Source organism: Homo sapiens, chromosome 7 (genome assembly GCF_000001405.40).
Source record: "Homo sapiens chromosome 7, GRCh38.p14 Primary Assembly".
Classification (NCBI taxonomy): domain Eukaryota; kingdom Metazoa; phylum Chordata; class Mammalia; order Primates; family Hominidae; genus Homo; species Homo sapiens.
The window spans coordinates 99472842-99500770 of NC_000007.14; the positions used below are offsets into that span (position 1 = coordinate 99472842).

General features: G+C 47.9%; 2 protein-coding genes across 22 annotated transcripts, besides 3 other annotated features; one reads left to right on the forward strand and one right to left on the reverse strand.

Annotated features, from left to right (window-relative positions):
* Window positions 49–338: an enhancer, noted in NCBI's record as "active region_26319". NCBI's record gives its function as "activates an Ori minimal core promoter by ATAC-STARR-seq in GM12878 lymphoblastoid cells {active_cell/tissue: GM12878}" and the evidence as "EXISTENCE:reporter gene assay evidence [ECO:0000049][PMID:35858748]".
* Window positions 49–14764, forward strand: ZNF789 (zinc finger protein 789). Of its 19 annotated transcripts, NM_001351004.2 has the most exons (7): window positions 49–215; window positions 3562–3639; window positions 5433–5515; window positions 6820–6946; window positions 11189–11302; window positions 12367–12527; window positions 13635–14764. In NM_001351004.2, exon 7 carries the CDS (start codon window positions 13655–13657, stop codon window positions 14645–14647), a length of 993 nt encoding a protein of 330 aa, NP_001337933.1. In that variant the 5' UTR covers window positions 49–215; window positions 3562–3639; window positions 5433–5515; window positions 6820–6946; window positions 11189–11302; window positions 12367–12527; window positions 13635–13654; the 3' UTR covers window positions 14648–14764. The 19 variants fall into 19 exon arrangements, 16 of the variants coding, with proteins under 16 accessions (NP_001337933.1, XP_016867511.1, NP_001337931.1 ...); XM_017012022.2 differs by lacking the exon at window positions 12367–12527 and adding exons at window positions 8894–9321; window positions 10898–11012 and having other exon boundaries at window positions 3562–7197; NM_001351002.2 differs by lacking the exon at window positions 5433–5515.
* ZNF394 (zinc finger protein 394) lies at window positions 13678–27440 on the reverse strand. 3 transcript variants are annotated; one of them, NM_001345968.2, is made up of 3 exons: window positions 26797–27440; window positions 25875–26001; window positions 13678–14122 (listed from the first exon to the last, which is right to left on the reverse strand). In NM_001345968.2, the coding sequence occupies exons 1-3, from the start codon at window positions 27250–27252 to the stop codon at window positions 14100–14102; spliced, it is 606 nt and encodes a 201-aa protein (NP_001332897.1). In that variant the 5' UTR covers window positions 27253–27440; the 3' UTR covers window positions 13678–14099. The 3 variants fall into 3 exon arrangements, with proteins under 3 accessions (NP_001332897.1, NP_115540.2, NP_001332896.1); NM_032164.4 differs by lacking the exon at window positions 13678–14122 and adding an exon at window positions 20399–21790; NM_001345967.2 differs by lacking the exons at window positions 13678–14122; window positions 25875–26001 and adding an exon at window positions 20399–21790.
* Window positions 25880–26548: an enhancer, noted in NCBI's record as "H3K27ac-H3K4me1 hESC enhancer chr7:99096344-99097012 (GRCh37/hg19 assembly coordinates)". NCBI's record gives its function as "activates a minimal SCP1, AML or CMV promoter by ChIP-STARR-seq in naive and primed H9 embryonic stem cells {active_cell/tissue: H9 hESC(naive and primed)}" and the evidence as "EXISTENCE:reporter gene assay evidence [ECO:0000049][PMID:30033119]".
* Window positions 26771–27050: an enhancer, noted in NCBI's record as "active region_26320". NCBI's record gives its function as "activates an Ori minimal core promoter by ATAC-STARR-seq in GM12878 lymphoblastoid cells {active_cell/tissue: GM12878}" and the evidence as "EXISTENCE:reporter gene assay evidence [ECO:0000049][PMID:35858748]".
* Window positions 27441–27929: the final 489 nt, after the last annotated feature.

The following is a 27929-nucleotide window of genomic DNA, read 5'->3' on the forward strand; positions in this document are numbered from 1 at the left end:
GAGGGGCCGCTGGCTGGGACGCTTCGCTCGGCGCGCGCAGGTGGAGCCAGCGAGAGGCTCTGAGGCTGCCAGAGTGGTTGTGTCTGTTCCTCCGGTAAGGGGTGATTCGCCGAGGGGCGCGGACCAGACAGACCTCGGGTCAGGCCCGGGAACCCCGAGAGGAGAGCCCAGCCCCTGGTGGAGGCGGCTTGGCGGAGATTCGGAGCCGTCAGCAGGTTTGGGGAGAAGGAAACGAGTGTTGTGGGGGGCGTGGGTGCGGGGGGTAGGCCACTGCGCACACCCCCGGCTCGCAGGGGACGCTCCGGGTTTGTGCGGCGGCTCTCGGGGCCTGTGGCACCAGCTTTTGAGTATTTTTGGCGGTGTCAAGTCTTCGGCAGCGAGAGGAGCAAAGTCCGAAGAATGAATGGATGGTGAACGCCTGGACTTGGTTTTGTTAGAGTGGGAGATGAGCCGTGGTTGTTAGTGGAAGGTGTTCACGTGATTGTGAAGCGGCATTTTGGATTTTGTCAAAAGTTAACAGTCCCCTCCAGTTAAAGTTTTAAGAGTTTATTGTGCATGCAGAGGAACAGCTGGCAAATTGTTCCAATGGCAGCTTGGAAAGCTAAATGAGGAAGTGCAGTGATCTTGATTGTAATTGGCCATTATCAACTTGCATTCCTTCTAGGGTAAGTCGAGCTGGATCAGCCTCGCATCTGTAGCTGATTGGTTCAGTTTATCATGCGGACGAGAAAAAAGCTTCTTTCCTGGTCAGCGCACACTTTTCAGGGAAATAAGGAATTGTTGTTGCTGTTGTGTTTGAGACGAAGTGTTACTCTGTTGCCCAGTTTGGAGTACAATGGGCCAATCTCGACTCACTGCAACCTCCAACTCCCGGGTTCAAGCGATTCTCCTGCCTCAGCCTCTCGAGTAGCGGGGACTACAGGCACGCGCCACCATGCCCGGCTAATTTTTGTATTTTTAGTGGAGACTGGGTTTCACTATGTTGGCCAGGCTGGTCTTGAACTCCTGACCTCATGATCCGCCCGCCTCGGCCTCCCAAAGTGCTGGGATTTACAGGTGTGAGCCACCACGCCCGGCCTGTTGTTTTTAAGAGAGACAGGGTCTTGCTCTGTCACCCAGGGTGGAGTGTAGTGGTGCCATCATAGCTCATTGCAGTCTCCAACTCCTGAACTCAAGGGAGAAATCAATGTATTTTAAATGCCTTACATGGCTGTGGGTGGTTGGCCTAGGGCCGTACCCAAAACATGGACTCCATTTAATTTTTCATTAGCAAGTCTGACATTCAGATGCACAGCCTTCACAAACACATTCAGTAAATATAGTGCAGGGGTGTCCAATCTCTTGGCTTCCCTGGGCCACATTGGAAGAAGAATTGTCTTGGACTACACATAAAATACACAAACACTAAAAATAGCTCATGAGCTAAAAAAAAATCGCAAAACAATTTCATAAGGTTTTAAGAAAGTTTACGAGCCGGGCGCGGTGGCTCACGCCTGTAATCCCAGCACTTTGGGAGGCCAAGGCGGGAGGATCACGAGGTCAGGAGATCAAGACCATCCTGGCTAACACGGTGAAACCCCGTCTCTACTAAAAATACAAAAAATTAGCGGGGCGTGGTGGCGGGCGCCTGTAGTCCCAGCTACTCGGGAAGCTGAGGCAGGAGAATGGCGTGAACCCGGGAGGCGGAGCTTGCAGTGAGCCGAGATCGCGCCACTGCACTCCAGCCTGGGCGACAGAGCGAGACTCCACCTCAAAAAAAAAAAAAAGAAAGTTTACGAATTTGTGTTGGGTTGGATTCAAAGTCGTCCTGGGCCATATGCGGTCCACAGGCTGAGGTTTGGACAAGTTTGGTGTAGAGAATGAAAGGGATGAGGCCTTTGCTCCAGCCTTGGAGCCATTGATCAGGATAGTTTTTAGAGTGTACCTCTTTGCTTAAAAGGCAGAGGGTCCACCCTGGGCAACATAGCAAGGCCCCACCTACAAAAGAACTACAAACAACTGGGCGTGGTGGTGCACTCTTGCAGTCCCATCTGCTTAGGAGACTGAGGCAGGAGCATTGCTTAAGCCCAGGAGTTGGAAGCTACAGTGAGCCATGATTACACCACTGCACTCCAGCCTGGGTGATAGAGGGAGACTCCTCAAAAAAAAAAAGAAAGGCAAAGGGTCTTCTAAACTGTTTTCAGGGAAGGTGAACTGTGTTTGAGGGGCATCCATTAAAATGAAAGTGAATTTCATTAAAATTCATCCTGAGTTAGAAAGCAAGTCTGTAGGCTGGGCGCAGTGGCTCACGCCTGTAATCCCAGCACTTTGGGAGGCTGAGGTGGGTGGATCACCTGAGATCAGGAGTTCAAGACCAGCCTGACCAACATGGTGAAACCCCATCTCAACTAAAAATACAAAAAAGTAGCTGGGCATGGCGGCGGGTGCCTGTAATCCCAGCTACTTCCGGAGGCTGAGGCAGGAGAATCGCTTGAACCCAGGAGGCGGAGGTTGCAGTGAGCAGAGATCACACCATTGTACTCCAGCCTGCACAACAAGAGTGAAACTCTGTTTAAAAAAAAAAAAAAATCAAGTCTGTAATTGTTACTGTTGCTGAATCCTGCTAGCAAATCACCAGGCTAGAGGTGAGGGTTGAGTGACCCCTTTAGAACACTTTCAGAGGGGGCTTGTCAGCAGGTGGAGCTGGCTGTAGGAGCAGGGTTGGAAATACGTAAGTAGATTTAGAGAAAGAAAAGCTGGTGAACTGGAATCCCTAGGATAACTAGACTCGGACATCCTGTGTGATAGGGGAGGGGAGCATTTGGCTTTCTCCTGTTGGTCCTAAATTAAAGGGAGTGGGGAGCAAAATTTTGGATAAAGCTGTTATTGATCAAGTCCTGATTTGGGGCCCATGCCTCAGAGGCTATGGTTTGGCTTCCAGAGCTGGTTGCTGCAGGGTGTGGATCAGAGTGCTATTTTTTCTTTCTTTTTTTTTTTTTTTTTGAGATGGAGTCTTGCTCTGTCACCAGGCTGGAGTGCAGTGGTACAATCTCAGTTCACTGCAACCTCCGCCTCCCAGGTTCAAGCGATTCTCCTGCCTCAGCCTCCCAAGTAGCTGGGAGTACAGGTGCCTGCCACCTCGCCCAGGTAATTTTTTGTATTTTAGTAGAGAAGGGCTTTCACCATGTTGGCCAGGATGGTCTCCATCTTCTGACCTCGTGATCCACCCGCCTCAGCCTCCCAAAGTGCTGGGATTATAGGCGTGAGCCACCGTGCCTGGCCAGAGTGCTATGTTTATATGTGGTCTATCTGCTGTCCCTTTGTATATGAGGTGCAGAGTATGACATGTTCTAGGGAGAAGGGGAGGGCAGGGCTGCAGGTTCTCTTGGATGGAGCTTGGGAAATTGAAATTACTAGACTTATTGTAGCGGCTCATGCATTTCATCACATGTTCCAACACCAAACACAGGGACTTTGTATTAAGCTTTGTCTGTGTGCCCCGTTGGAATTCCGGGTCCCAGATCTGCCAACCAAGAGAGCTTCAAATTAGGGCTGGCCTTACTGACTTTTTTTCTTCTCCAGCTCAGCCAGACGTCCAGGATCCCACCCCTTGCAAAAGACCAGGCCGTGGAAGCCATGTTCCCACCAGCCAGGGGGAAGGTGAGCTGTGCCTCCCCCTCTGCTTCATCAGCATAGTCACTGCCACCAGCAGCTCCTTCCTCAGACTGAGCCCTCTTGATCAATGTGGGGAGTTTTCCTTCTTAGACAGTGCAATGTAGAGAGCTTAGCCTCTGGAGTCACATGGGCTTCCTTCAGTTACATAAACACTCTGGCTCCAGTTTTCTTTTCTGTAAAATGGGTCAGTGAGAGTGCCTATCACAGCGAGTTGTGAAGATTCAATGAAAAACACCCTGTGAAGTCCTTTGTGCAGTATCTGGTTACTCGTTTAGCACTGTGTTAAGTTGTTGCTCTTATTACCGTAGTAGTTGCCCATTGTTTCTGTCTGTGAGCATTATTGTGCACCTACTGCTGTACACTCCAGGTGCTGTTTTCTGTGCTGGGAGATCAACTCTTACCTGTAGGAGATTACAACCTGATTAGAGAGATAGTTGTGTAAGGAACTTCTCATAATAAATTCTGAACTGTTCCTATGAACGGGTATAATGGAAGGTCAGTTATTGAATTTGTAGCATTATGGAGGGTGATTAGAAGAGACTGAGTTGTTTTGTCTTTTTTTTTTTTTGACGGAGTCTCACTCTGTTGCCAGGCTGGAGTGTAGTGGCGCGATCTCAGCTCACTGCATCCTCTGCCTCCCGGGTTCAAGTGATTATCCTGCCTCAGCCTCCCAAGTAGCTGGGACTACAGGCGAGTGCCACCACGCCCAGCTAATTTTTGTACTTTTAGTAGAGACGGGGTTTCACCATGTTGGCCAGAATGGTCTCCATCTCTTGACCTCGTGATCCACCCACCTCAGCCTCCCAGAGTACTGGCATTACAGGCGTGAGCCACTGTGCCCAGCCTGTGTTTTGTCTTTTTTTAGACGGAGTCTCACACTGTTGCCCAGGCTGGAATGCAGTGGCATGATCATGGCTCATGGCAGCCTTGACCTTCCCAGGCTCAGGTGATCCTCCCACCTCAGCCTCCCAAGTAGTTGGGACCACAGGTACATGCCACCACGCCTGGTTACTTTTGTATTTTTTGTAGAGACAGGGTTACACCATGTTGCCCAGGTTGTTCTTGAACTCTTGGCTTGAGCCATCCACCAGCCTCAGCCTCCCAAAGTGCTGGGAATCCAGGTGTGAGCCACCGCGCCCAGCCTAGAAGAGACTGAGTTTGAAAGAAAGGAGAGGACCAGTGGCTCATGCCTGGAATCCCAGCACTTTGGGAGGCTGAGGGGGGTGGATTGCCTGAGGTCAGGAGTTTGAGACCAGCCTGGCCAACATATAGTGAAACTCCATCTCTACTAAAAATACAAAAATTAGCTGGGTATAGTGGCGCATGCCTATAATCCCATCTACTTGGGAAGCTGAGGCAGGAGAATTGCTTGAACCGAGGAGGTGGAGGTTGCAGTGAGCCGAGATCGCGCCATTGCACTCTAGCCTGGGCAACAAGAGCGAAACTGTCTCAAAAAACAAAAACGAAAACAAAAACCCAAACAAACAAAAAATGGAACTTTTAAGCAACATTTGGTGCCCATCTGTCAATGTACAAGTCCTAGCTGTTGATGGGTTCTTGGAAACTGCAACTTTAAGGGAAACTATGTATATCAAAACCGTTTTTTTTCCATCAGTGTTACAGTGAAACAAAGTTATTCAAGGACCTGCTGCTGTACATACTTTTGCTAAAAATCAGTTTCCAAGAACCTATTGTGGATGTTAGGAGAGGAGTTACCATGCCACAATGACTCTGGGAGATGAAGCCATTTTATTCCCATGCTTGTTAACCTTGTGCAGGTGCGGGAATGCAGATGGCTGAGTAGGTCAGATTGAGGACATGGCAGCGCAGCTCTGGTAAAAGAGTGACACTCTGGATAATGGTGAGAAAGGGCCTGCAACCGTAGCAGTGGAACTCAGGTTTGATAGGCAGGAAAGAAAGTCCGTATAATTTGGGAGGTTCTGGTGCCTGCCTGCAGAGGGGAGCTACGTGAAGCTTCTCAGGATGGTCTCAGGATGGGGGTGGGCATTTCCTGTTACTGACCACTTATAGGACAGCGAACGTTTGCCCTTTCCCTGCACACATCCCCTCTGAACCCATGCAGTGTCTTGTGAGAGCAAGGAGTGTGTAGACAGCCGCTGGGCCCCTTTGCCCAGAGGGCTGCAGTGGTGTGGGAGGGAGAGTGTGGCAGCTTCAGTGCTCAGCCCACTGGAGGGGGCAGTCACTTGCAGATGTAATGTCCCCTGTGCTCACTGTGCTGTGTCCACTGTTGCCCACTCTGGATATGCTCCCCAGGCGTCTGCGCCTTGGTCTGTACCTTTTATATTCTCCAGCAACGGGCTCCCCTGGTCTCTGGCATCTGCTTGGCTTGTGGCAATGGGATGAAGAGGGTTGGAGGACAGGGGACAGGGCGCCGGAGGCCTGGGGAAAACTGAGGTTGGGTTTCTCTTCCCACGGCTCCCTCCCCACTGGGCTGTGGGATGGGTGTGGCTGCATCCTGTTCAGCCGCAGCTGGTCTTGCTCCCCTTCCAGCAGCCTTCTGGGCTCCAGCAGCCCTCCCCACCTTACCCCTTCAGACCTAGCAGGCCCTGGTTCCCCAGGGTGGCCAGGACCTGCGAGCTTCCACATTTCTTGTTCATGTTCATTGAGACTATTCATCCCTTTGTAAATAGTCTGCACATTAACCAACCCCCCAGTGACCTCATCTCTTTCCTAAGGAACCTGGGGCAGAAGCAATAGGTTATTTTTATAGAGCAGCGGTCAGCAAACTGCCCTGGACCGCTTGGTAAAGTTTCCCTGAAACACAGCTGTGCCCATTCGCTTACTTGTCCACGGCTGCTTTTGTGCTCCAACACAAAGGCTGTTCCTCAGATTGTTGATTTGCTGTTCCTCTAATCAACAGCAGATTTGAGGAACTGGAACAGAGACCAGAGGGCCTGAAAAGCCTAAAATATTTACCATCTGGCCCTTTAGAGATTAATTGTGTCGACCCCGTGGTATGGAAGCCAGCACATGTCTGGCCTGAGGGCCATCAGGCCTGAAAGGAGCCCTGAATATATTCCTTATGAATTGGGTGCCCTTGGCCCACACTCTACCTCCCAAACCTTGGTTTCCTCAGCTGTGGAATAATCATTGAGCGTAAGTTATTTTAAGAATTGCAGTTACCTTTATCAGCTACTTTTCCAGGAGCTGCTCTCGTTTGAGGATGTGGCGATGTACTTCACCAGAGAGGAGTGGGGCCACCTCAACTGGGGTCAGAAGGACCTCTACCGAGATGTGATGTTGGAGAACTACAGGAACATGGTCTTGCTGGGTAGGACACGGCTTGAAGATTGGGCTTTGTCTGTGTTCTGAGTGTCTGTGCAAGCCCTTAGTCCCTTATCTGCAATTCCAGAATCAGAAAAAGCGGTGAAAACCGAAAGGTTTTTTTATAACTCGTGTGGCTACAAGCCCTGACCAGACATCACCACAGTGAAACCTGACTTCATCCTATAGGAAACCATTTATTGTCTTTATTTTTCCAACTTGGTGTGCATATCTGTATACCCAACTTCAGAAATAACAGTGTAGGCCAGGTGCGGTGGCTCACACCTGTAATCCCAGCACTTTGGGATTCCGAGGCGGGTGGATCACATGAGGTCAGTAGTTTGAGACCAGCCTGGCCAATATGGTGAAACCCAGCTCTACTTAAGATGCGAAAATTAGCCTGGTGTGGTGGTGCACGCTTGTAGTCCCAGTTACTTGGGAGGCTGAGGCAGGAGAATCGCTTGAACCCGGGAGGCAGAGGTTGCATTGAGCCGAGATCATGCCGCTGCATTCCAGCCTGGGTGACAGAGCGAGACTCCGTCTCAAAACAAAACAAAACAACAACAAAAATAACAGTGTATTTGAGGGCACCACTCCAAACCCTACTGGGGATGATACGTTATGTAAAATATTTACACCAGGTCACCTTTCTGAAATGGGAAAAATTCTGACTCCTGAAACACATCTGGTCCTAAGGGTTTCACATAAGGGACTGGGGACAGTGAATAGTCGTGTTGTGTTAGGGCTCAGACCGAGACACTTCATGCATTCTTCACTCTCACCTCGTGTTCCTCATCTGTAAGACCTCCAGGAGTTGAGAATTATGGTAGATTTACATTCCAAAGGCTCACTTCTTATGCTCTTGAAAGTCTTTTTCTTTCTTTTCTCTGGAAATGGGTAACTTCTTGGTGTGTAACATTAGTGGGTGCTCAGGAAATGATTTTCAACCAACTTCATTTCTGAACCTTCACTGCTTCCATTCTTTTCAGGAGCCTACCCTGTCCTAGTCCACTGTAGTCTCCCACTGTGGGAGTTGCCTTGCTAAATAGTTTTCTTTCCGGGGTCACATGTTTAACCCTTGCACTGACACTCTTAGCACAGAGTCTTGACCACCTCTGTGGGACTGTCCACCCACCTCTGGATTTTTATAATTTTAATTTTCCCTTTAAAAGCATTACAGGAGCATACATAAGTACATGGAAGGCATAGAAAAGGAGGAGAAGAGGAAAGTGTTCATGGGTAACACTGTTAATATTTTGGAAGGTTTCCTGCCAGTCTTTTTTTCCTATGCCTTTACAAAAGTAGCTGAGCATATTCTATGTGCAATCCTGTAATCTGTTTTAAATGTAACATTATTGTATCAGCATTTCCCCACATAATCAGTAAACGAGCATAATATAATTCCATTGTGTGGTCCATAAAAATATTTCATTGTTTTCCCATGTGGGGACATTGAGCTTGCCTTTGTTTGTTCGTTGGTTTGCTTGTGTATTTATAATGTTTGAATAGATGTTTGAGTATAAATCTTTGCATGAATTTTTGATCATTTCCCAAGATACTTTCCCAAAATCAGAATTTTGAAGTTAAATGAGATGGCACTTTAATCTTTATTGATTACTGAATGATTCTTCAACAAACTTTGTACTGTTTTGCATATCCAATAGTAACATTTTAGAGTGCTTCTTTTTTTTTTTGAGACAGAGTTTCGCTCTTGTTGCCCAGGCAGGAGTACAATGGCAGGATCTCAGCTCACCACAACCTCTGCCTCCCCGGTTCAAGTGATTCTCCTGCCTCAGACTCCTGAGTAGCTGGGATTACAGGCATGTGCCACCACACCTAGCTAATTTTGTATTTTTAGTAGAGACGGGGTTTCGCCATGTTGGTCAGGCTGGTCTCAAACTCCCGATCTCGGGTGACCCGCCCACCTCAGCCTCCCAAAGTGCTGGGATTACAGGTGTGAGCCACTGCACCCAGCTGAGAGTGCTTCTTTACTATATCACTGCCTTCTTTTATGGATTTTACTAGTTCTAAAAATAATTTTCATTACAGAAATTTTGGAAAATACATCAGTAAATAGAGTAGATAATAAAAATCACCTGCAGGCCTACTTTCCAGAAGTAACTCTTGTTATTAACATTTTGGTTTACTTTTTCCCAGTCCGTCTATGTGTCTATTACAGGGAAAGAATCCCTTATCCAAAATGCTGGGGACCAAAAGTGTTTTGGATTTCGGATTTTTCTTTTTTGGATTTTGGAATACTCATAAATATATAATAAGATAATTTGAGGATCTGACAAGAAATTCACTTATGTTTCATATACACCTTAGACATGTAGCTTCTTCAAGCTACGCTTGATTTAATTGTTCCCTTTTGATATTCAGTTTATTTCCAGTTTGATGCTGCAATACCACTGTGCTGAACGTCTCTGGCACATTCATCTTGGTTGCAATTGTACTTTAGGCTATATTTCTAAGAGCGAAATGACCACAGCCAAAGGTATGAACATTGTTCAGGCTTTCAATAAAGACTGCCAGATATTTACAAAGATTGTGCCAATCTCTGTTTTTCCCTGGGGAAGGCTGAATTAACTGTGTGTTGTGCACCTGCGTTTTGACTGCCACTGGTCACGTGAGGTCAGGTGTGGAACTCTCCACTTTTATCAGGTTAGTGCTCAGAAAGTTTCGGATTTGGGAGCATTTTGGATTAGGGATGTTCAAACTGTATTAATTACTTATACACACACACACATAACATACACACTACATAGTTTTTTAAAACAAAATTTGGGGTCAGGCATGGTGGCTCATGCCTGTAATCCCAGCACTTTGGGAGGGAGGTCAAGGTGGGCGGATCACCTGAGGTCGGGAGTTCGAGACCAGCCTGAGCAACATGGAGAAACCCTGTCTCTACTAAAAATTCAAAATTAGTCAGGCGTGGTGGCACATGCCTGTAATCTCAGCTATTCCGGAGGCTGAGGCAGGAGAGAACACTTGAACCCGGGAGGCGGAGGTTGTGGTGAGCCAAGATTGTGCCATTGCCCTCCAGCCTGGGCAACAAGAGCAAAACTCTGTCTCAAAAATAAAAAAAATTTGGATCATGCTATATATGAGTTTTGTATTCTGCTTTAAAATACATAGGCAGTGTTTTCCTATTTTAATAAATAGTTGGGCTGGGCACGGTGGCTCACGCCTGTAATCCCAGCACTTTGGGAGGCCGAGACAGGTGGATCACCTGAGGTCAGGAGTTCGAGACCAGTTGGCCAACATGGTGAAACCTCGTCTCTATTAAAAATGTAAAAATTAGCTGGGCGTGGTGGCCACATGCCTGTAATTCCAGCTACTTGGGAGGCCGAGGCAAGAGAATCACTTGAACCCGGGAGGCGGAGGTTGCAGTGAGCAGAGATGGTGCCAGTGTACTCCAGCCTGGATGACAGGAGTGAAACTCCGTCTCAAAAATAAATAAATAAATAAAAATAAAAATACAAAAATTAGCCGGGTGGGGGCGACAGAGCAGAGACTCCATCTCAAAATAAATAAATAAATAAATTTATAAATAAATAAATAGTTGGCTAAGTACAGTGGCTCAAGCCTATAATCCCAGCACTTTGGGAGGCCAAGGCGGGTGGATCACCTGAGGTCAGGAGTTCGAGACCAGCCTGGCCAACATGGTGAAACCCCATCTCTAATAAAAATACAAAACTTAGCAAAGCGTGGGGGCGCTGTGCCTGTAGTTCCAGCTACTTGGGAGGCTGAGGCAGAAGAATTACTTGATCCTGGGAGGCAGAGGTTGCAGTGCGCCAAGACTGTCACTCCAGCCTGGGTGACAGAGCAAGACTCTGTCTCAAAAATAAAAAAAATAAACAATTGAATACAAGGATTTTTAATATCTGCCTAATACTTATGCCTTCATCGCATTAATGTGCTACGCTTGATTTAATTGTTCCCTTTTGATATTCAGTTTATTTCCAGTTTGATGCTGCAATACCACTGTGCTGAACGTCTCTGGCACATTCATCTTGGTTGCAATTGTACTTTAGGCTATATTTCTAAGAGTGAAATGACCACAGCCAAAGGTATGAACATTGTTCAGGCTTTCAATAAAGACTGCCAGATATTTACAAAGATTGTGCCAATCTCTATTCTCACCACCGCTTTTGATTATTGTCCTTATCTCTGCTTGCCACTGAGCCCCGGGCCATGTCTCTGTAACTCACTAACGGCCACATCCCATTTACTTCCCCATGAGTAGGATTTCAGTTTCCCAAACCTGAGATGATCTGTCAGCTGGAGAACTGGGACGAGCAGTGGATCCTGGATCTACCGAGAACTGGGAATAGGAAGGCTTCCGGTAGTGCTTGCCCAGGTGGGTGAGGAAGAGACCCAGGCGAGTGGAATCAGGAAGAGGAAGGGAAGGCATGTTAGTGAAGCCCCTTCTGTGTGCCAGACGCTGAGCCAGGTGCTGGGCATATATTATCCCACTTCTTCATCCCTACTGCCCTGTGAAGTGGGAGGAAGATCGGCGTCCCCATTTCCCAGATGAAGAAACTAAGATTAAGAAATCTTGGCTGGACGCGGTGGCGCATTCCTGTAATCCTACTTTGGGAGGCCAAGTTGGGCGGATCACCTGAGGCCAGGACTAGACCAGCCTGGCCAACATGGTGAAACCCCGTCTCTACTGAAAATATAAAAATTAGCCCCGCGTAGTGGCGTGTGCCTGTAATCCCAGCTACCTGGGAGGCTGAGGCAGGAGAATCACCGGAACCTGGGAGGCAGAGGCTGCAGTGAGCCGAGATCGCGTCACTGCACTCCAGCCTGGGTGACAGAGCAAGACTGTCTCAATTAAAAAATATATATATATATCACACAGGCCTGGTATGGGGGCTCACGCCGGTAATCCCAGCACTTTGGGAGGCAGAGGCAGGAGGATCACTTGAGCCCAGGCGTTCAGGATCACCCTGGGTGATATGGTGAAACCCCATCTCTACAAAAAATACAAATTTAAGCCGGGTGTGGTGGCGCATGCCTGTAGTCCCAGCTACTCAGGAGGCTGAGGTGTGAGGACTGCTTGAGCCTGGGAGGCAGAGGTTGCAGTGAGCTGAGATTACATGACTGTACTCCAGCCTGGGTGACAGAGCAAGACTGTCTGAAAAAAGAACTCTCACAGTTGGGAGGTGGACACTGGGGTTTGACTTCAAGTCTAGAATGCTTATCCTCTCTCTCCTGCAGGAAAAAGTGCTGCTCTGACGCAGATGCTCTAGTGTTTTCTAAGTGACAGCTCTTAGGGCACCCTGGATGCCCCTTGATTCCACCCTCATTACTTGTCCTCTCTCGGTGCTGCCTCTTGTTCCCTTGCTTTGTTTTGTTTTCATATTACTCCCGTATTTCCTGACATATCTGCATTTTTCTACTTACTGTGTCCCGATGCAGCTGCTCCTGTTTTTCACATCCAAGGTTTCTCCTCCATGGCACTACTGACGTTTTGGGCTGACGAATTCTTTGGGGACAGGATGGGGCATGTCCTGTGCATTTTAGGATGTTGAGTAGCAGCCCTGGCCTGCATCCACTAGATGCCAGTTGAACCTCCCCAGGTGTGACAACCAGAAATGTCTCCAGACATTGTCCAAACCCTGTTCACCCCTAGTTGAGACCCATTGCTCTATTCAGTTGGCTTTTGTCCCTACTTCCCTCTGGTTCCTTTTCTATGCTATCCTATACTTTGTCCATTTTTAAGCAGATGTTTCACCTAGAGTTATTAAAAACGTGTATCTAGGCCGGGTGCCGTGGCTCACACCTGTAATCCCAACACTTTTGGAGGCCGAGATGGGCAGATCGCTTGAGGCCAGGAGTTTGAGACCAGCCTGGCCAACATGGCGAAATATCATCTCTACTAAAAATACAAAAACTAGCCGGGCGTGGTGGTGTATGCCTGTAATCCCAGCTACTCAGGAGGCTAAGGCACGAGAATCTCTTGAACCCAGGAAGTGGAGGTTGCAATGAGTTGAGATCATGCCACTGCACTCCAGCCTGGGCTTGTCTCAAACAAAAAGCATGTATCTTGAAGCATAACATGCTACCTCTTTGATATTTATTTGGCACCACTGAGTACCTAGAGTAAGTTGTTTTTCTAATAACGATGATGGGCTCTGCTCTCACATTCTCTGGCATACACACTCCTATACATTTATAGTGAGTTTGTTGGTGCCGAGAGCTGTTTTTGTTATGAAAGTGAAGAGTCCAATGAAATTCAGAATTTTGGGCTGGGTGCGGTGGCTCACGCCTGTAATCCCAGCACTTTGGGAGGCCGAGGTGGGTGGATCACCTGAGGTCAGGGGTTCGAGACCAGCCTGACCAACATGGTGAAACCCCGTCTCTACTAAAAATACAAAAATCAGCTGAGCATGATGGCTGGCATCTGTAATCCCAGCTACTCGGGAGGCTGAGGCAGGGGAATCACTTGAACCCAGGAGGCGGAGGGTGCAGTAAGCTATCATGCCACTGCACTCTAGCCTGGGCAACAGAGAGAGACTCCGTCTCAAAAAAAAATTTCAGAGTTTTGGCCTCTTGAGTCTGATGATGTAAACGAGATCACTTCTTAGCTTCATTTGATTGTCCTAGACCCCTAACAGTTGCCTTCTCTTCCTTTTTTTCTTCTGCAGTGGATAGGTCATTTACATCTTTTCTTGTTATTTGGCTAGGTTCTGAAGCCAGACACAAGATGAAAAAGCTAACTCCAAAACAGAAATTTTCTGAAGATTTAGAGTCATATAAGATATCAGTGGTAATGCAGGAATCAGCTGAGAAACTTTCAGAAAAGTTACATAAGTGTAAAGAATTTGTGGACAGTTGCAGGCTTACTTTCCCTACTAGTGGTGATGAATACAGCAGGGGCTTCCTTCAAAACCTTAACCTTATTCAAGATCAGAATGCGCAAACAAGGTGGAAGCAGGGCAGATATGATGAGGATGGCAAACCCTTCAATCAAAGATCTTTGCTTTTGGGGCATGAGCGAATTCTCACAAGAGCAAAGTCTTATGAATGCAGTGAATGTGGAAAAGTCATTAGGCGTAAGGCATGGTTTGATCAACATCAAAGAATTCACTTTTTAGAGAATCCTTTTGAGTGTAAGGTCTGTGGGCAAGCCTTCAGACAGCGGTCAGCTCTTACGGTCCATAAACAGTGTCACCTGCAAAACAAGCCATACAGATGTCATGACTGTGGAAAGTGTTTTCGGCAGCTCGCGTATCTTGTTGAACATAAGAGGATTCACACCAAAGAAAAACCTTATAAATGTAGCAAATGTGAAAAAACGTTTAGTCAGAATTCAACCCTTATTCGACATCAGGTGATCCATAGTGGAGAAAAACGCCATAAATGCCTTGAGTGTGGAAAAGCCTTTGGCCGGCATTCAACCCTTCTATGTCATCAACAGATTCACAGTAAACCGAACACCCATAAATGCAGTGAATGTGGACAGTCCTTTGGTAGGAATGTGGATCTCATTCAGCATCAAAGAATCCATACAAAGGAGGAATTCTTTCAATGTGGAGAATGTGGGAAAACGTTTAGTTTTAAGAGGAATCTTTTTCGACATCAGGTCATTCACACTGGAAGCCAACCCTACCAATGTGTCATATGTGGAAAATCTTTCAAGTGGCACACAAGCTTTATTAAGCACCAGGGCACTCACAAAGGACAGATATCCACATGATGTTAATTGGAAAGCAGTCATTGGAGAACTAGAACTTATAAACCTCTACTTCAAGTGTGTATCACGTAATTGTTTCCATGAAAAGCAATAAATGTAACAAAGGGTTTTTCTATGGGAGCCATCTTTGTGTAGCCAATCTGTAGTGAAGAAACGCTTAAAAGGAAATGTTAGCTTGGGCAACACAGTGAGATCCCATCTCTACAAAAAATAACAAAGCCAGGTGTGGTGGCTCACACCTCCAGTCCCAGCTACTAAGAAGGCTGGGTGACAGAGTGAGGCTGTCTCAAAAAAAAAAAAGAAAGGGCTGGGCGCGGTGGCTCACGCCTGTAATCCCAGCACTTTGGGAGGCCGAGGTGGGCGGATCACGAGGTCAGGAGATCAAGACCATCCTGGCTAACACAGTGAAACCCCGTTTCCACTAAAAAATCAAAAAATTAGCCGGGTGTGGTGGCAGGCGCCTGTAGTCCCAGCTATGCGGGAGGCTGAGGCAGGAGAATGGCGTGAACCCAGGAGGCGGAGCTTGCAGTGAGCTGAGATCGTGCCACTGCACTCCAGCCTGGGCGACAGAGCGAGACTCCGTCTCAAAAAAAAAAAAAAAAAAAAAACAGAGAAAAGGTTATTAGGCTGTTGTGTCCACTCTCTTGCACCCTCTATGCCCTCATTCCCTCCAGCCTAGTTAAGGCAGAAGGGAGCCATAGAAGCTGTGCCGTGTGGTTGCCAGGCTGGGGACCATTGCATGGGTTGTGAATGATTGAAGGTTTGAAGACAGCCAGTATGGTGTCGCATGTCTGTAATCCCAGCACTTTGGGAGGCTGAGGCTGGAGAATCACTTGAGGTCAGTTCAAGACCAGCCTGGCCAACATGGTGAAACCCCGTCTCTACTGAAAATACAAAAATTAGCTGTTTGGGAGGCTGAGGCAGGAGAATCGCTTGGACCTGGGAGGTGGAGGTTGCAGTGAGCCAAGAACACACCACTGCACTCCAGCCTCAGCAACAGAGTGAGACTCCATCTCAAAAAAAAAAAAAGATTGAAGAATGCCTTTCCTGTATTACATACAACTATTACATGCTAACGTATAGACTTAAAAAACAAAACAAAACTAAGGGCTACTCACTAGTAACTAGTGAGGTATGAAGAACTAAAAGTTGCCCATAATCAGGCCGGGCATGGTGGCTCACACCTGTAATCCCAGCACTTTGGGAGGCCAAGGCGGGTGGGTCACAAGGTCAGGAGTTCAGGACAAGCCTAGCCAAGATGGTGAAACCCCGTCTCTACTAAAAATACAAAATTTAGCCAGGCACAGTGGTGGGCGCCTATAATCCCAGCTGCTTGGGAGGCTGAGGTAGGAGAATCACCTACCTCAACCGGGAGGCAGAGGTTGCAGTGAGCTGAGATTGCGCCACTGCACTCCAGCCTGGGCGACAGACCAAGACTCCATCTCAAAAAAAAAAAAAAAAAAAAGTTGCCCATAATCTAAAATGAGTATGTTAGATTCTGATAAGAGTTGTAAGTCAGCCCGGCGCAGTGGCTCACGCCTGTAATCCCAGCACTTTGGGAGGCTGAGGCGAGTGGATCACGAGGTCAGGAGTTTGAGACCAGCCTGGCCAATATGGTGAAACCCCATCTCTACTAAAAAATACAAAAATTAGCCGAGCATGGTGGTGCGCGCCTGTAGTCCCAGCTACCCAGGAGGCTGAGGCAGGAGAATCGCTTGAACCTGGGAGGTAGAGGTTGCAGTGAGCTGAGATCATGCCACTGCACTCCAGCCTCGGTGACAGAGTAAGACTCCATCTCAAAAAAGAAAAAAAAAAAAAAAGAGTTGTAAGTCAATATTTGTAATAGGTGCCGTGGGCCCTGCCGAAGTCCCTCTGGCCTTACACCTTCTGTGGGCTTCATCTGACTGTGTCTGCACCTTGTGGCCTGTGGGGTAATAACACATTCTGGGAGCAGCTGTCAACCAATCATCGATGGGAATTTGATAAACACCAAATTCTCCATCTCCCCATGTGTGGAAAACTCTGAAGCATGTGTTTTAGTTTCCAGAGGTTCCCCATGAATTGCACACAGGCACTCACCCAAGGTAGATACCTCATTGGGTGACTTCCCTTCTGTCTCTTCCACCTTCCCTAATAGTGTTGCAACCTCTCCCCAACAAATAAACTACTTGTATTCAAAAAGTGTCAATTATGTTCTCTGAGAAGCCATATCCCTTCTGTTTCCACAATTATTCTAAGCACATTCTGACATTCAGTTTAAATAGGTTGAGCTGAGTGTATTCTCCCTAGAGCTCAACAATATAAGAGATCCATTTAAATTATTTGGATATCCTAAACATCATCCTATGTCTGTATTAAAAATTGCTCTAATTTGCCGGGCGTGGTGGTGGGCACCTATAATTCCAGCTACTCAGGAGGCTGAGACAGGAGAATTGCTTGAACCCGGGAGGTGGAGGTTGCAGGGAGCCAAGATTGCACCACTGCACTCCAGCCTGGGCGACAGAGTGAGACCCCGTGTCAAAAAAAACAAACAAATATTGCTCTCAGGCCAGGTGCACTGCGTCATGCCTGTAATCCCCAACACTTTGGGATGCTGAGGCAGGTGGATCACTTCAACCCAGGAGTTTGAGACCAGCCTGGCCAACATGGCAAAACCTCATCTTTTTTTTTTTTTTTTTTTTTTTTGAGATGGCGAGTCTCGCTCTGTTTTCCAGGCTGGAGTGCAGCGGTGAGATCTCAGCTCACTGCAACCTCCGCCTCCTGGGTTCAAGCGATTCTCCTGCATCAGCCTCCTGAGTAGCTGGGACTACAGGTGCCTGTCAGCATGCCCAGCTAATTTTTGTATTTTCAGTAGAGATGGGGTTTCGTTCGCCATGTTGGCCAGGCTGGTCTTGAATGCCTGACCTCGTGATCTGCCAGCCTTGGCCTCCCAGTGCTGGGCTTACAGGCGTGAACCACTGTGCCCAGCCTCTCTCATACTTTTAAAGTACAAAAATTAGCTGGGTGTGGTGGTTGTATGCCTGTAGTCCCAGCTGCTTGGGAGGCTGAGGTGGAAGGATCGCTTAAGCCCAGGAAGTTGAGGCTGCAAGTGAGCCAAGATCACACCACTGCACTCCAGACTGGGCGACAAAGTGAGACCTTTTTTTTTTTTTTTTTAAAAAAAAAGATAGTTTGTATTTACGATTCTCTCCAATGACCAGTTCAGACATTCAGGCACTTGTCACTCAGATTAATCCTCATGTTTAAAGAAGGTACAAACAGGAGAGAACTGTTTCTAATTCACTGAGCCACAGGGAACTGCCAAATCTAGAGAGACTCAGCCATAGAAAATGAACAGTCACATCCAAAGCGCAGCCATCCTGAGATGGCTTCAAACTTAGAGGGAGGTGTAGGTGCTGTCCAGGCCAGACACTCTTCAGTTTCCAAACAGTTCCTAGAGGAAGAGAAGCCACTATCACCCAGAAGCCACCTACACCCAGACTAGACCCGGGGCTCTGCCCTGTGTTTGTCAGGGGCCACTAGTGCCCTGACTGCTGTTTCCTGATGATATTCCTTCAAGCAGAGGCCTCTATTACACGTGCCCCAGCTCACCTACATCAGGGAGAGAGTGGTCTCCTGACCGTGATGGTGGGAGCCCCTAGTGGAGCTGAGCAGACACTCTCTTCCCTTCATTTTCACAGGACCTGGAAAGGACAACCACACTTGCTTTACTGGAGATGATTCTTATGTTCTATTTTATTCACTTCTGCAAGAAATACTCAAATTTTGTATAATAAGCCTTGTGATATCATGATAAATATGTATCTGGTCTTCATCCTCAATGACTAGCAGAGAGCTCCCCAAACCTTGGAGAATTCCTGAGGGATAAGGGTGCTAAGAGCATCTTTTCTTATCATATTTGGTCTTTGACACTTGTTCCTGACACAGAGCTGTTAAACCCATTGGAATTTCCTTAGTGATGCATGTCTTTGTTCTAATAAGGCAACTCTTGGATTTCCGATGGGTTCAGCTTGGGGGCTAACTGGAAAGACCAAGGCATGATTAGAAACTTGGAAGCTGAGGCGGGCGGACCACGAGGTCAGGAGATAGACACCATCTTGGCCAACATGGTGAAACCCTGTCTCTACTACACTACAAAAAATCAGCCGGGTGTGGTGGCGAGTGCCTGTGGTCTCAGCTACTCGGGAGGCTGAAGCAGGGGAATTGCTTGAACCTGGGAGGCGGAGGTTGCAGTGAGCCGATATCATGCCACTGCACTCCAGCCTGGGCGACAGAGAATCTGTCTCAAAAAAAAAAAAAAAAAAAAAAGCCAGGCACAGTGGCTCCAGCCTGTAATCCCAGCACTTTGGGAGGCCAAGGCGGGCGGATCATGAGGTCAGGAGATCCAGACCATCCTGGCTAACACAGTGAAACCCCATCTCTACTAAAAATACAAAAAATTAGCAAGGCATGGTGGGGGTGCATGTAGTCCCAGCTACTCAGGAGGCTGAGGCAGAAGAATGGCATGAACCCGGGAGGTGGAGTTTGTAGTGAGCCGAGATTGCGCCACTGCACTCCAGCCTGGGCGACAGAGCGAGACTCCGTCTCAAGAAAAAAAAAAAAAAAAAAAGAAATCAGCAAGTCATAAAACTGAACTCCTAGGCTCCTAGAATGGGAAAGAAAGAGGGACTATGCAAAATTAGGTTTTCTGGAAAGTGAAAAATAGAGTGCTTCTTTTGAGTACTGAGCTTTACCAGATCTTTTGGGGATTATGAAGTAGTTGAAACCCTCTCTACAATCTAAGGCCAAAGGCAAATTTTAAATGACTAAAATACATTCTTAGGCAAGTATTAATAATTGTAGTGAGCAAGATTTGGTTCAAAAGTGAATAAAAAGGCCGGGCATGGTGGCTCGTGTGTAATCCCAGCACTTTGGGAGGCTGAGGTGGGCGGACTGCCTGAGCTTAGGAGTTCACCACCAGCCTAGGCAACACAGTGAAACCCCATCTCTACTAAAATACAAAAAATTAGCTGGGCATGGCATGGTGCACCTGTAGTCCCAAGTACTTGGAAGGCTGAGGCAGGAGAATTGCTTGAATCCAGGAGGTGGAGGTTGCAGTGAGCCAAGATCATGCCACTACACTCCAGCCTGGGTGACAGAGCGAGACTCCATCTCAAAAAAAAAAAAAAAAAAAAAGTAAATAAAGGTAGGCTGGGTGTGGTGGCTTGTGTCTGTAATTCCAGCACTTTGGGAAGCTGAGGCAGGAGGATTCCTTGAGCCCAGGAGGTTGAGACCAGCCTGGGCAACATAGCAAGACCCTATCTCTTAAAAAAAAAAAAAAGCTGGGTGTGGTGGTGTGTGCCTGTGGTCCCAGCTACTCAGGAGGTTAAGGCAAGAGGATCACTTGAGCCCAGGAGGTTGAGGCCACAGTGAACCACGATCACACCACTGGGCTCCCGCTGGAGGGCTACGACGAGACCCAGTCTCAAAAATAATACATAAAGGTAGAGCGCAGATAACAAGGACAGAACCCCGTTACATGTCAGCCTGGCTCTTATCATCAGAAGTCTCTTACCTGGCATCAGCTCACATTTCAGAAGGCCCCCTACTTCCTCATTCCTCACTCACTGAAACTATCAGTCTGTAATGAGGCTCAGGACAGATTGAACCTATCTTGTAGGAGATACTCAAGGAAGATCCATAATTGACTGATATACTCCAAATGGCAAGGAATGTGGTTCTGGACAAGAAAAGAAACAGGCCAAGTCACATAGAAACATATCAAAATGACAGCACTTTATTTCTTTTTTGAGATGGAGTCTCGCTCTGTTGCCCAGGCTGGAGTGCAGTGGCATGATCTCAGCTCACTGCAACTTCCGCCTCCTGGGTTCAAGTGATTCTCCTACCTCAGCCTCCCGAATAGCTGGGCTTACAGGCATGCACCACCATGCCCGGCTCATTTTTGTATTTTTAGTAGAGACAGGATTTTACCATGTTGGCCAGGCTGGTTTCAAACTCCTGATCTCAAATGATCTGCCTGCCTTGGCCTCCCAAAGTGCTGGGATTATAGGCGTGAGCCACCACGCCCAGCCGACAGCACTTTATTTTGATGAATTCTTTGGTGTCGGATAAGGTGTGTACTTTGTCTAAATCTTTCCCCACATTCAAGACATTTGTAAGGCTTTTCCCCAGTGTGAATTCTCTGGTGTTTAATGAGGGTTGCACTCTGATTGAAGCGTTTCCCACAGACGGAACATCCATAGGGCTTCTCCCCAGTGTGGATTCTGTGGTGTTTAAAGAGGTCAGAGCGCTGTTTGAAGCTCTTCTCGCATTCTTCACACTTATAGGGTCTTTCCCCTTTATGTAGTCTCTGATGTCTAAAAAGGTTGGAAATATGACAGGTTTCCCCGCATTCCTCACATTTAAAATGTTTGTCTCTACTGTGGGTACTTTGATGACGATTTAGGTGTGAATTCTGCCTGAAGCGCTCCCCACATTTCAGACAGGTGTACGGCTTCTCGCCTGTGTGTGTCCTCTGGTGCTTGGTCAGGGCAGCACTCTGGCTGAAGCTTTTCCCACATTCTTGGCAGCCATAGGGTTTCTCACCTGTGTGGATTCTCTGGTGTCTAAAGAGGTCAGAGCGTTGTTTGAAACTCTTCCCACAGTTACCACATTTATAAGGTCTTTCTTCATGGAGCTGCCTCTGGGTCTCAAAAAGGCTGGAATGATGGAAACTGTCTCCACTGTCAGACTTGTGAGGTTTCAGCACGTGCCACGTCACCATGTGGAAACTTTGCTTGCACTTGTTCCCGTGTTCCTCACTGTCAGTGGGCCTCTCTGCTTTCGGGATGTGCTGACATAGAACAAGGTTGGAACACCTGGCACTGTTCTGCAATTCATTATTTTTAGAGTCTTCCCCTTCTATGGAACCATTCTTATTGACATCTGAGATGCTGTTGAGTCCTTCTGCTTCAGGAGAATTTTCAAGTTTCAGGGGCAAGGGGTCTCCGGACTGCTTTTCCACCCTGTCCTCATGGGTACTGCCACACTTAGAAAACAGGGGGCGCTTCCCCTGGAACGCTTCTTGTAGTTGCCCCTGTGGCTCCGCTTCTTCTAAAATTTGTTGCATTGGAATCAACTCTTTGTTCTCCACTCTGCTTTCCAAACCTGAAACGTGAAAATACAAATTCCTGCCAGTGCATCCCTGTGCAACACAGAAATAAGCAAGTGCTGGCAGAATGTTAAACCCTCAAACCCCTTTTACTTTTTAATTAATTAATTTATTTTTTGAGACGGTGTCTTGCTTTGTCACCAGGCTGGAGTGCAGTGGTCCGATCTCAGTTCACTGCAACCTCTGCCTCCCGAGTTCAACTGATTATCCTACCTCAGCCTCCCAAGTAGCTGGCATTACAAGTGCACGCCACCACACCCAGCTAATTTTTGTATTTTTATTAGAGATGGGGTTTCACCATGTTGGCCAGGATGGTCTCTATCTCTTGACCTCATGATCCGCTCGCCTCAGCCTCCCTATTTATTTATTTTGAGACAGAGTATTACTCTGTTGCTATTTATTTATTTTGAGATGGAGTCTCACTCTGTTGCCCAGGCTGGAGTGCAGTGGCATGATCTCGGCTCACTGCAACCTCTGCCACCTGGGTTCAAGTGATTCTCCTGCCTCAGCCTCCCAAGTAGCAGGGATTACAGGTGCTAATTTTGCTAGTTTTAGTAGAGACAGTGTTTCACCATATTGGCCAGGCTGGTCTTGAACTCCTGACCTCGTGATCCGCCTGCCTCGGCCTCCCAGACTTCTGGGATTACAGGCGTGAGCCACAGCACCCAGCCTATATTTTATTTTATCGTATCTTATTTTATTTTTGAGATGGAGTCTTGCTCTGTTGCCTAGGCTGGAGTGCAGTGGCATGATCTCAGCTCACTGCAACCTCTGCCTCCCAGGTTCAAGTGATTCTCCTGCCTCAGCCTCCCAAGTAGCTGGGATTACAGGCACCCACCACCACACCCGGCTAATTTTTTTGTATTTTTAGTGGGGACGAGGTTTCACCATCTTGGCCAGGATGGTCTCGAACTCCTCTGACCTTGTTATCCACCCCCCTCGGCCTTGCAAAGTGTTGCGATTACAGGCGTGAGCCACCACACCCAGCTATTTTATTTTTTTGAGATGGAGTTTCGCTCTTGTTGCCAAGGCTGGAGTGCAGTGGAGTGATCTCAGCTCACTGCAACCTCTGCCCCCCAGGTTCAAGCAATTCCCCTGCCTCAGCCTTGAGAGTAGCTGGGATTACAGGCAACGTGCCACCACACCCGGCTAATTTTTGTATTTTTAGTAGAGATGGGGTTTCACCATGTTGGTCAGGCTGGTCTCAAACTCCTGACCTCAGGTGATCCACCTGCCTTGGCCTCCCAAAGTGTTGGGATTACTGGCATGAGCCACTGCACCCAGCCTATTTATTTTATCTTTTTGAGACAGAGTCTCACTCTGTCACCCAGGTTGGAGTGCAATGGCGTGATCTCGGCTCACTGCAACCTCCACCTCCCAGGTTCAAGTGATTCTCCTGCCTCAGCCTTCTGAGTAGCTGTAATTACAGGTGCCCATTAACTGGCCTGGCTAATTTTTGTATTTTTAGTAGGTATTTTAGTAGGTATTATAGTAGGTATTTTAGTAGGTATTATAGTAGGTATTTTAGTAGGTATTATAGTAGGTATTTTAGTAGGTGTTTTAGTAGACGGGGTTTTACCATGTTGGCCAGGCTGGTCTCGAACTCCTGACCTCAAGTGATTCACCTGCCTCGGCCTCCCAAAGTGCTAGGGTTATAGGTGTGAGCTACCTCGGTCTCCCAAAGTGCTGGGATTACAGGTATGAGCCACCACACCCGGCACAAGGGAGCAATTTGAGCAAAGCCCTGAAACTTTGCTTCCTACAGAGTAGAGTAGAATATTCCAGGCAGAGCGGTCACATAGCACAAAGACCAGGAGGCAGCGGGGCCTGGCATATTTTGGAGCAGCAAGGCAGTGTGGCCAGAGCAGGCAAAGGGCAGCAGAAGGGATGGGTGGGTGAGCAGGGTGCCAGGGCCCCTGCACATCAGGCATCAGAGGTCCGGCTAATTTTTGGTATTTCTAGTAGAGACGGTGTTTCACTATGTTGGCCAAGCTGGTCTTGAACTCCTGACCTCATGATCTGCCCACCTCGGCCTCCCAAAGTGCTGAGATTTACAGGCCTGAGCTATCACGCCCGGCCAAAATGTATTACTATTTTTTTTATTAATTTTTTTTTTTAAAGAGATGGGGTCTCGCTATGTTGCCCAGGCTGGTCTTGAGCTCCTGACCTCAAACAATCCTCCCATCTGGGCCTCCCAAAGTGCTAGGATTACAGGTGTGAGCCACCGTACCCAGCCAACAGCAAATGTTGACAAGAATATGGAGAAAGAAAAATTATTAGTATTGCTGGTGGCATATACATTAGTTATGGGCTCTTTGGAGAGCAAGATGAACATACAGTTGTTCCCTCTTCTCTGTGGGGACACGTTCCAAGTCCCCCAGTGATGCCTGAAATTGTGTATAGTACCAAAGCCTATATATATATGTGTATATATATGTATATACATACATACGTGTGTGTGTGTGTGTGTGTGTGTGTGTGTGTGTGTATATATATATATATATATGTATATATATATATAAAATGTTTTTTCTTTTTTTTTTGAGACGGAGTCTTGCTCTGTCACCCAGGCTGGAGTGCTGGAGTGCAGTGGCACGATCTCGGCTCACTGCAACCTCCGCCTCCCAGGTTCAGGTTCACGCCATTCTCCCGCCTCAGCCTCCCGAGTAGCTGGGACTACAGGCGCCTGCCACCACGCCTGGCTAATTCTTTTTTCTGTATTTTTTAGTAGAGACAGGGTTTCACCGTGTTAGCCAGGATAGTCTCAATCTCCTGACCTCATGATCTGCCCGCCTCGGCCTCCCAAAGTGCTGGGATTACAGGCGTGAGCCACCGTGCCTGGCCTATAATGTTTTTCCTTATATGTACATCCCTTTAATCAAGTTTAATTAATAAATTAGGGACATTAAGAGATTAACAGTAACTATTAATTATAACAATATACTTAGCTAGGTTTGGTGTCTCACACCTGTAATCCCAGCACTTTGGGAGGCTGAGGCAGGAGGATCACCTGAGGTAAGGAGTTCAAGACCAGTCTGGCCAACATGGTGAAACCCCATCTCTACTAAAAACACAAAATTAGCTGAGCATGGTGGGGCATAACTGTAATTCCAGCTCCTCGGGAGACAGAGGCAGGAGAATTGCTTGGCTTGGGAGGCAGAAGTTGCAGTGAGCTGAGACCACACCACTGCACTCCCCCTGGGCAACAAGAGTAAAACTCCATCTCAAAAAAACCCCCAAAGCCAAAGATAAAAAACGAAAAACAAATGCTATACTTAATAAAAGTCATGTGAATGTGGTCTCTCCCTGTCTTAAAATATCTGATTGTACTGTGGGTAAGTGAAACCGCAGAAAGCAAAACCAGGAAGGGGGGACTACTGCCTGTCTCTAGGCATATTCTCTTCAAAAACTCCAACATAGAAACAAATATACAAAGATATGCAAGAATATACAAGAATGTTCGGTGCAATGCTGTAATGGTTAAAAACTTAAGACACCTAAATGTCCATCAACAGAAATGGAGAGAATTCTGGAGTATCTGGACCGTGAAATAGGTAGAGCTCCATGCATCAACATGAGTAAATCTCAAAAATGTAATGTTGAGTAAAAAAAGCCATACAGTAATGATATACAGCGTGGAGCTACGTGTCTATGTAGAGACAATATAAGACATGCATGGAAGTCATGAACACAACAGTCAGCTTACTGGCTACCTCTGGAGAAGGATAGAGGGGAAGGGTTTCAGGGAGGCTATGTGGGGGCCTCACCTACAGCTGTAACATACTATTTCCTTGGCAATATGGCCAAGTATTAAGATCTGATAAACTTGGGTGGTAGACACAGGGGATGGTCATTATCTTTTTTTTATATAGTTTTCTGTATGTATAAAACATTAAAAATGAACCAAAGTAAAAAGCTGAATCTAGCACCTAGCAGTACAGAGGCTCCTGCTTGCGTTACAGAAGGCACCTGAAGGCTCTCAGCCCAAGTCTGGGAATGGCATAGTGGCTCAGGGATGGTAGTGAACCAGCCCTTCACAAACCACACACCGCAATAAACCAGCAGAGCAACAGCACTCACTCGGCGGAACTGTGCTCCCGGAATCCTTCTGCGCACTCTCTCTGCAGAAGTCCCTCCGTGCTGGGTCCAGGCGCTCCCACTCCTCCCAGGTTAGAGACACAGCCGTGTCCTCGAAAGTCACCATCCCCTGGAACAACACAAGAGCCCCATTCAGTACCTGCTGTCCCTGTACAGCACTAACACTCTTCTTGAGTCTTGTACCGACAAGGGAGTTTGGAGAGATCAGAGATAGAGGCTGACATTCTCTTGTAATCCTGAAAAGCCTTTCTGTGGACTATTTACACTAATTTTGGAGGTAGGTAGGAGCAAAATATTTCTTTAACTTATATCACTGTGATGTATGGGAATGGAAATATGATACAGATTAAAAGTAAACAAGGCCGGGCGCGGTGGCTCACGCCTGTAATCCCAGCATTTTGGGAGGCCGAGGCGGGCGGATCACCTGAGGTCAGGAGTTCGAGACCAGCCTGGCCAACACAGTGAAACCCCGTCTCTACTAAAAATACAAAAATTAGCCGGGCGTGGTGGCGGGCGCCTGTAATCCCAGCTACTCGGGAGACTGAGGCAGGAGAATCGCTTGAACCCGGGAGTCAGAGGTTGCAGCGAGCCGAGATCGCGCCATTGCACTCCAGCCTGGGCAACAAGAGTGAAACTCCATCTCAAACAACAGCAAGAACAACAAGAAAAAAAAAAAAAAGAAAAGAAAAAGAAAGAAAACCAGTAATCCGTGTTCGCTTTATGCTGAGGTCTATAACAAGTCATTTCCTGGATGGATCTGTCACTGTGGCCTACAGAAAGGAAGTCCATACACACCCCAATGTTCACACGAAATGTAATAAGGAAGTAAGTTCCGAAACGCAGAGCACCCCTAAACGCCTATTTTCCACACTCCCACCTCCAGAACAGGCCTTTCGCTTCTCACCTGGGATGAGGTTCCATCGAGCGCTCGCTGCAGAGCCCGCACCACGGCCACCGCCTCCTCCCCGCTCTCTGGGCAGTGCTCTCGCACCCAGGCTTGAAGCTCCTCGGGCAGGATGGTGAGGAACTGCTCCAGCACCAGCAGCTCCAGGATCTGCTCCTTGGAGAGCAGCTCGGGTCTCAGCCACCGACGACAGAGTTCTCGGAGCCGGCTCAGCGCCTCTTCCGGTCCAGCCACCTCCTGGTAACGCAGCTGCCTAAAGTGCAGTCGAGAAGTTTCGGGGTCCGGCGAAGCCGCGGGATAGTTGGGCTCCCAACTTCCGGGTGAGTCTTCCTCCACTTTCACGGGCAAAAGTCCGTCGCGTTGGGACGGCGCCGCGTCCTTGGACCTCGCAGCCATCACCCAGGGTCCCAACTCGGCGTCACTGCCGCGCCTCTGGGCGGTCAAGCTGGAATTCATCTTTCTCCGGCATGTGCTGCCCTTCCTGGAGTCTTCTTTTCAGGTGAAGAAAGAGCAAACCCAAGGAACTCATCAGCCGTCAACACCCTCCGGTCCCAAACACCGGGCCCCACCACACCAGGCCCCTCTCCACACTCTCCTTTCCTCAGCTTTGCGCCTACAACTCTCTCGGTCAAACAACCGAAAACATCCCGTGCCGGAAGCGCGTCATCGAGGCCTTGCGGCACCTTTCCCTGCATTTCCGGGGCCTCTCTAGGCGCCTGATGGGGTGAGGTGCATCTCGCTGGTTTATCGTCCTAGCCCCGCCCGACGCAGAGGGTCTTGACGGTTTCCCGCATCCCGAGGAAATACGGGCGTCCGAGCCGGTGGCCGAGCTCCGGCAAGGGCGGGAACCTTCAGGATTAAATAGACAGGGTCTGGCTCTGTCGCCCAGGCTGGACTGCAGTGGCGCGATTTCGGCTCACTGCAACTTCTGTCTCCCGGGTTCAAGCAATTCTCCAGCTTCAGCCTCCCAAGTATCTAGGACTACAGGTGCGCGCGACCACGCCCGGTTTATTAATTTTTCTGTGGGGATGGGGTTTCATTATATTGCCCAGGTTGGACAAAGTTGTTTTTTTTTCTTTTTTCAGGCGGACTCTCGCTCTGTCGCCAGGCTGTCTTAGCCTCCTGAGTAGCTT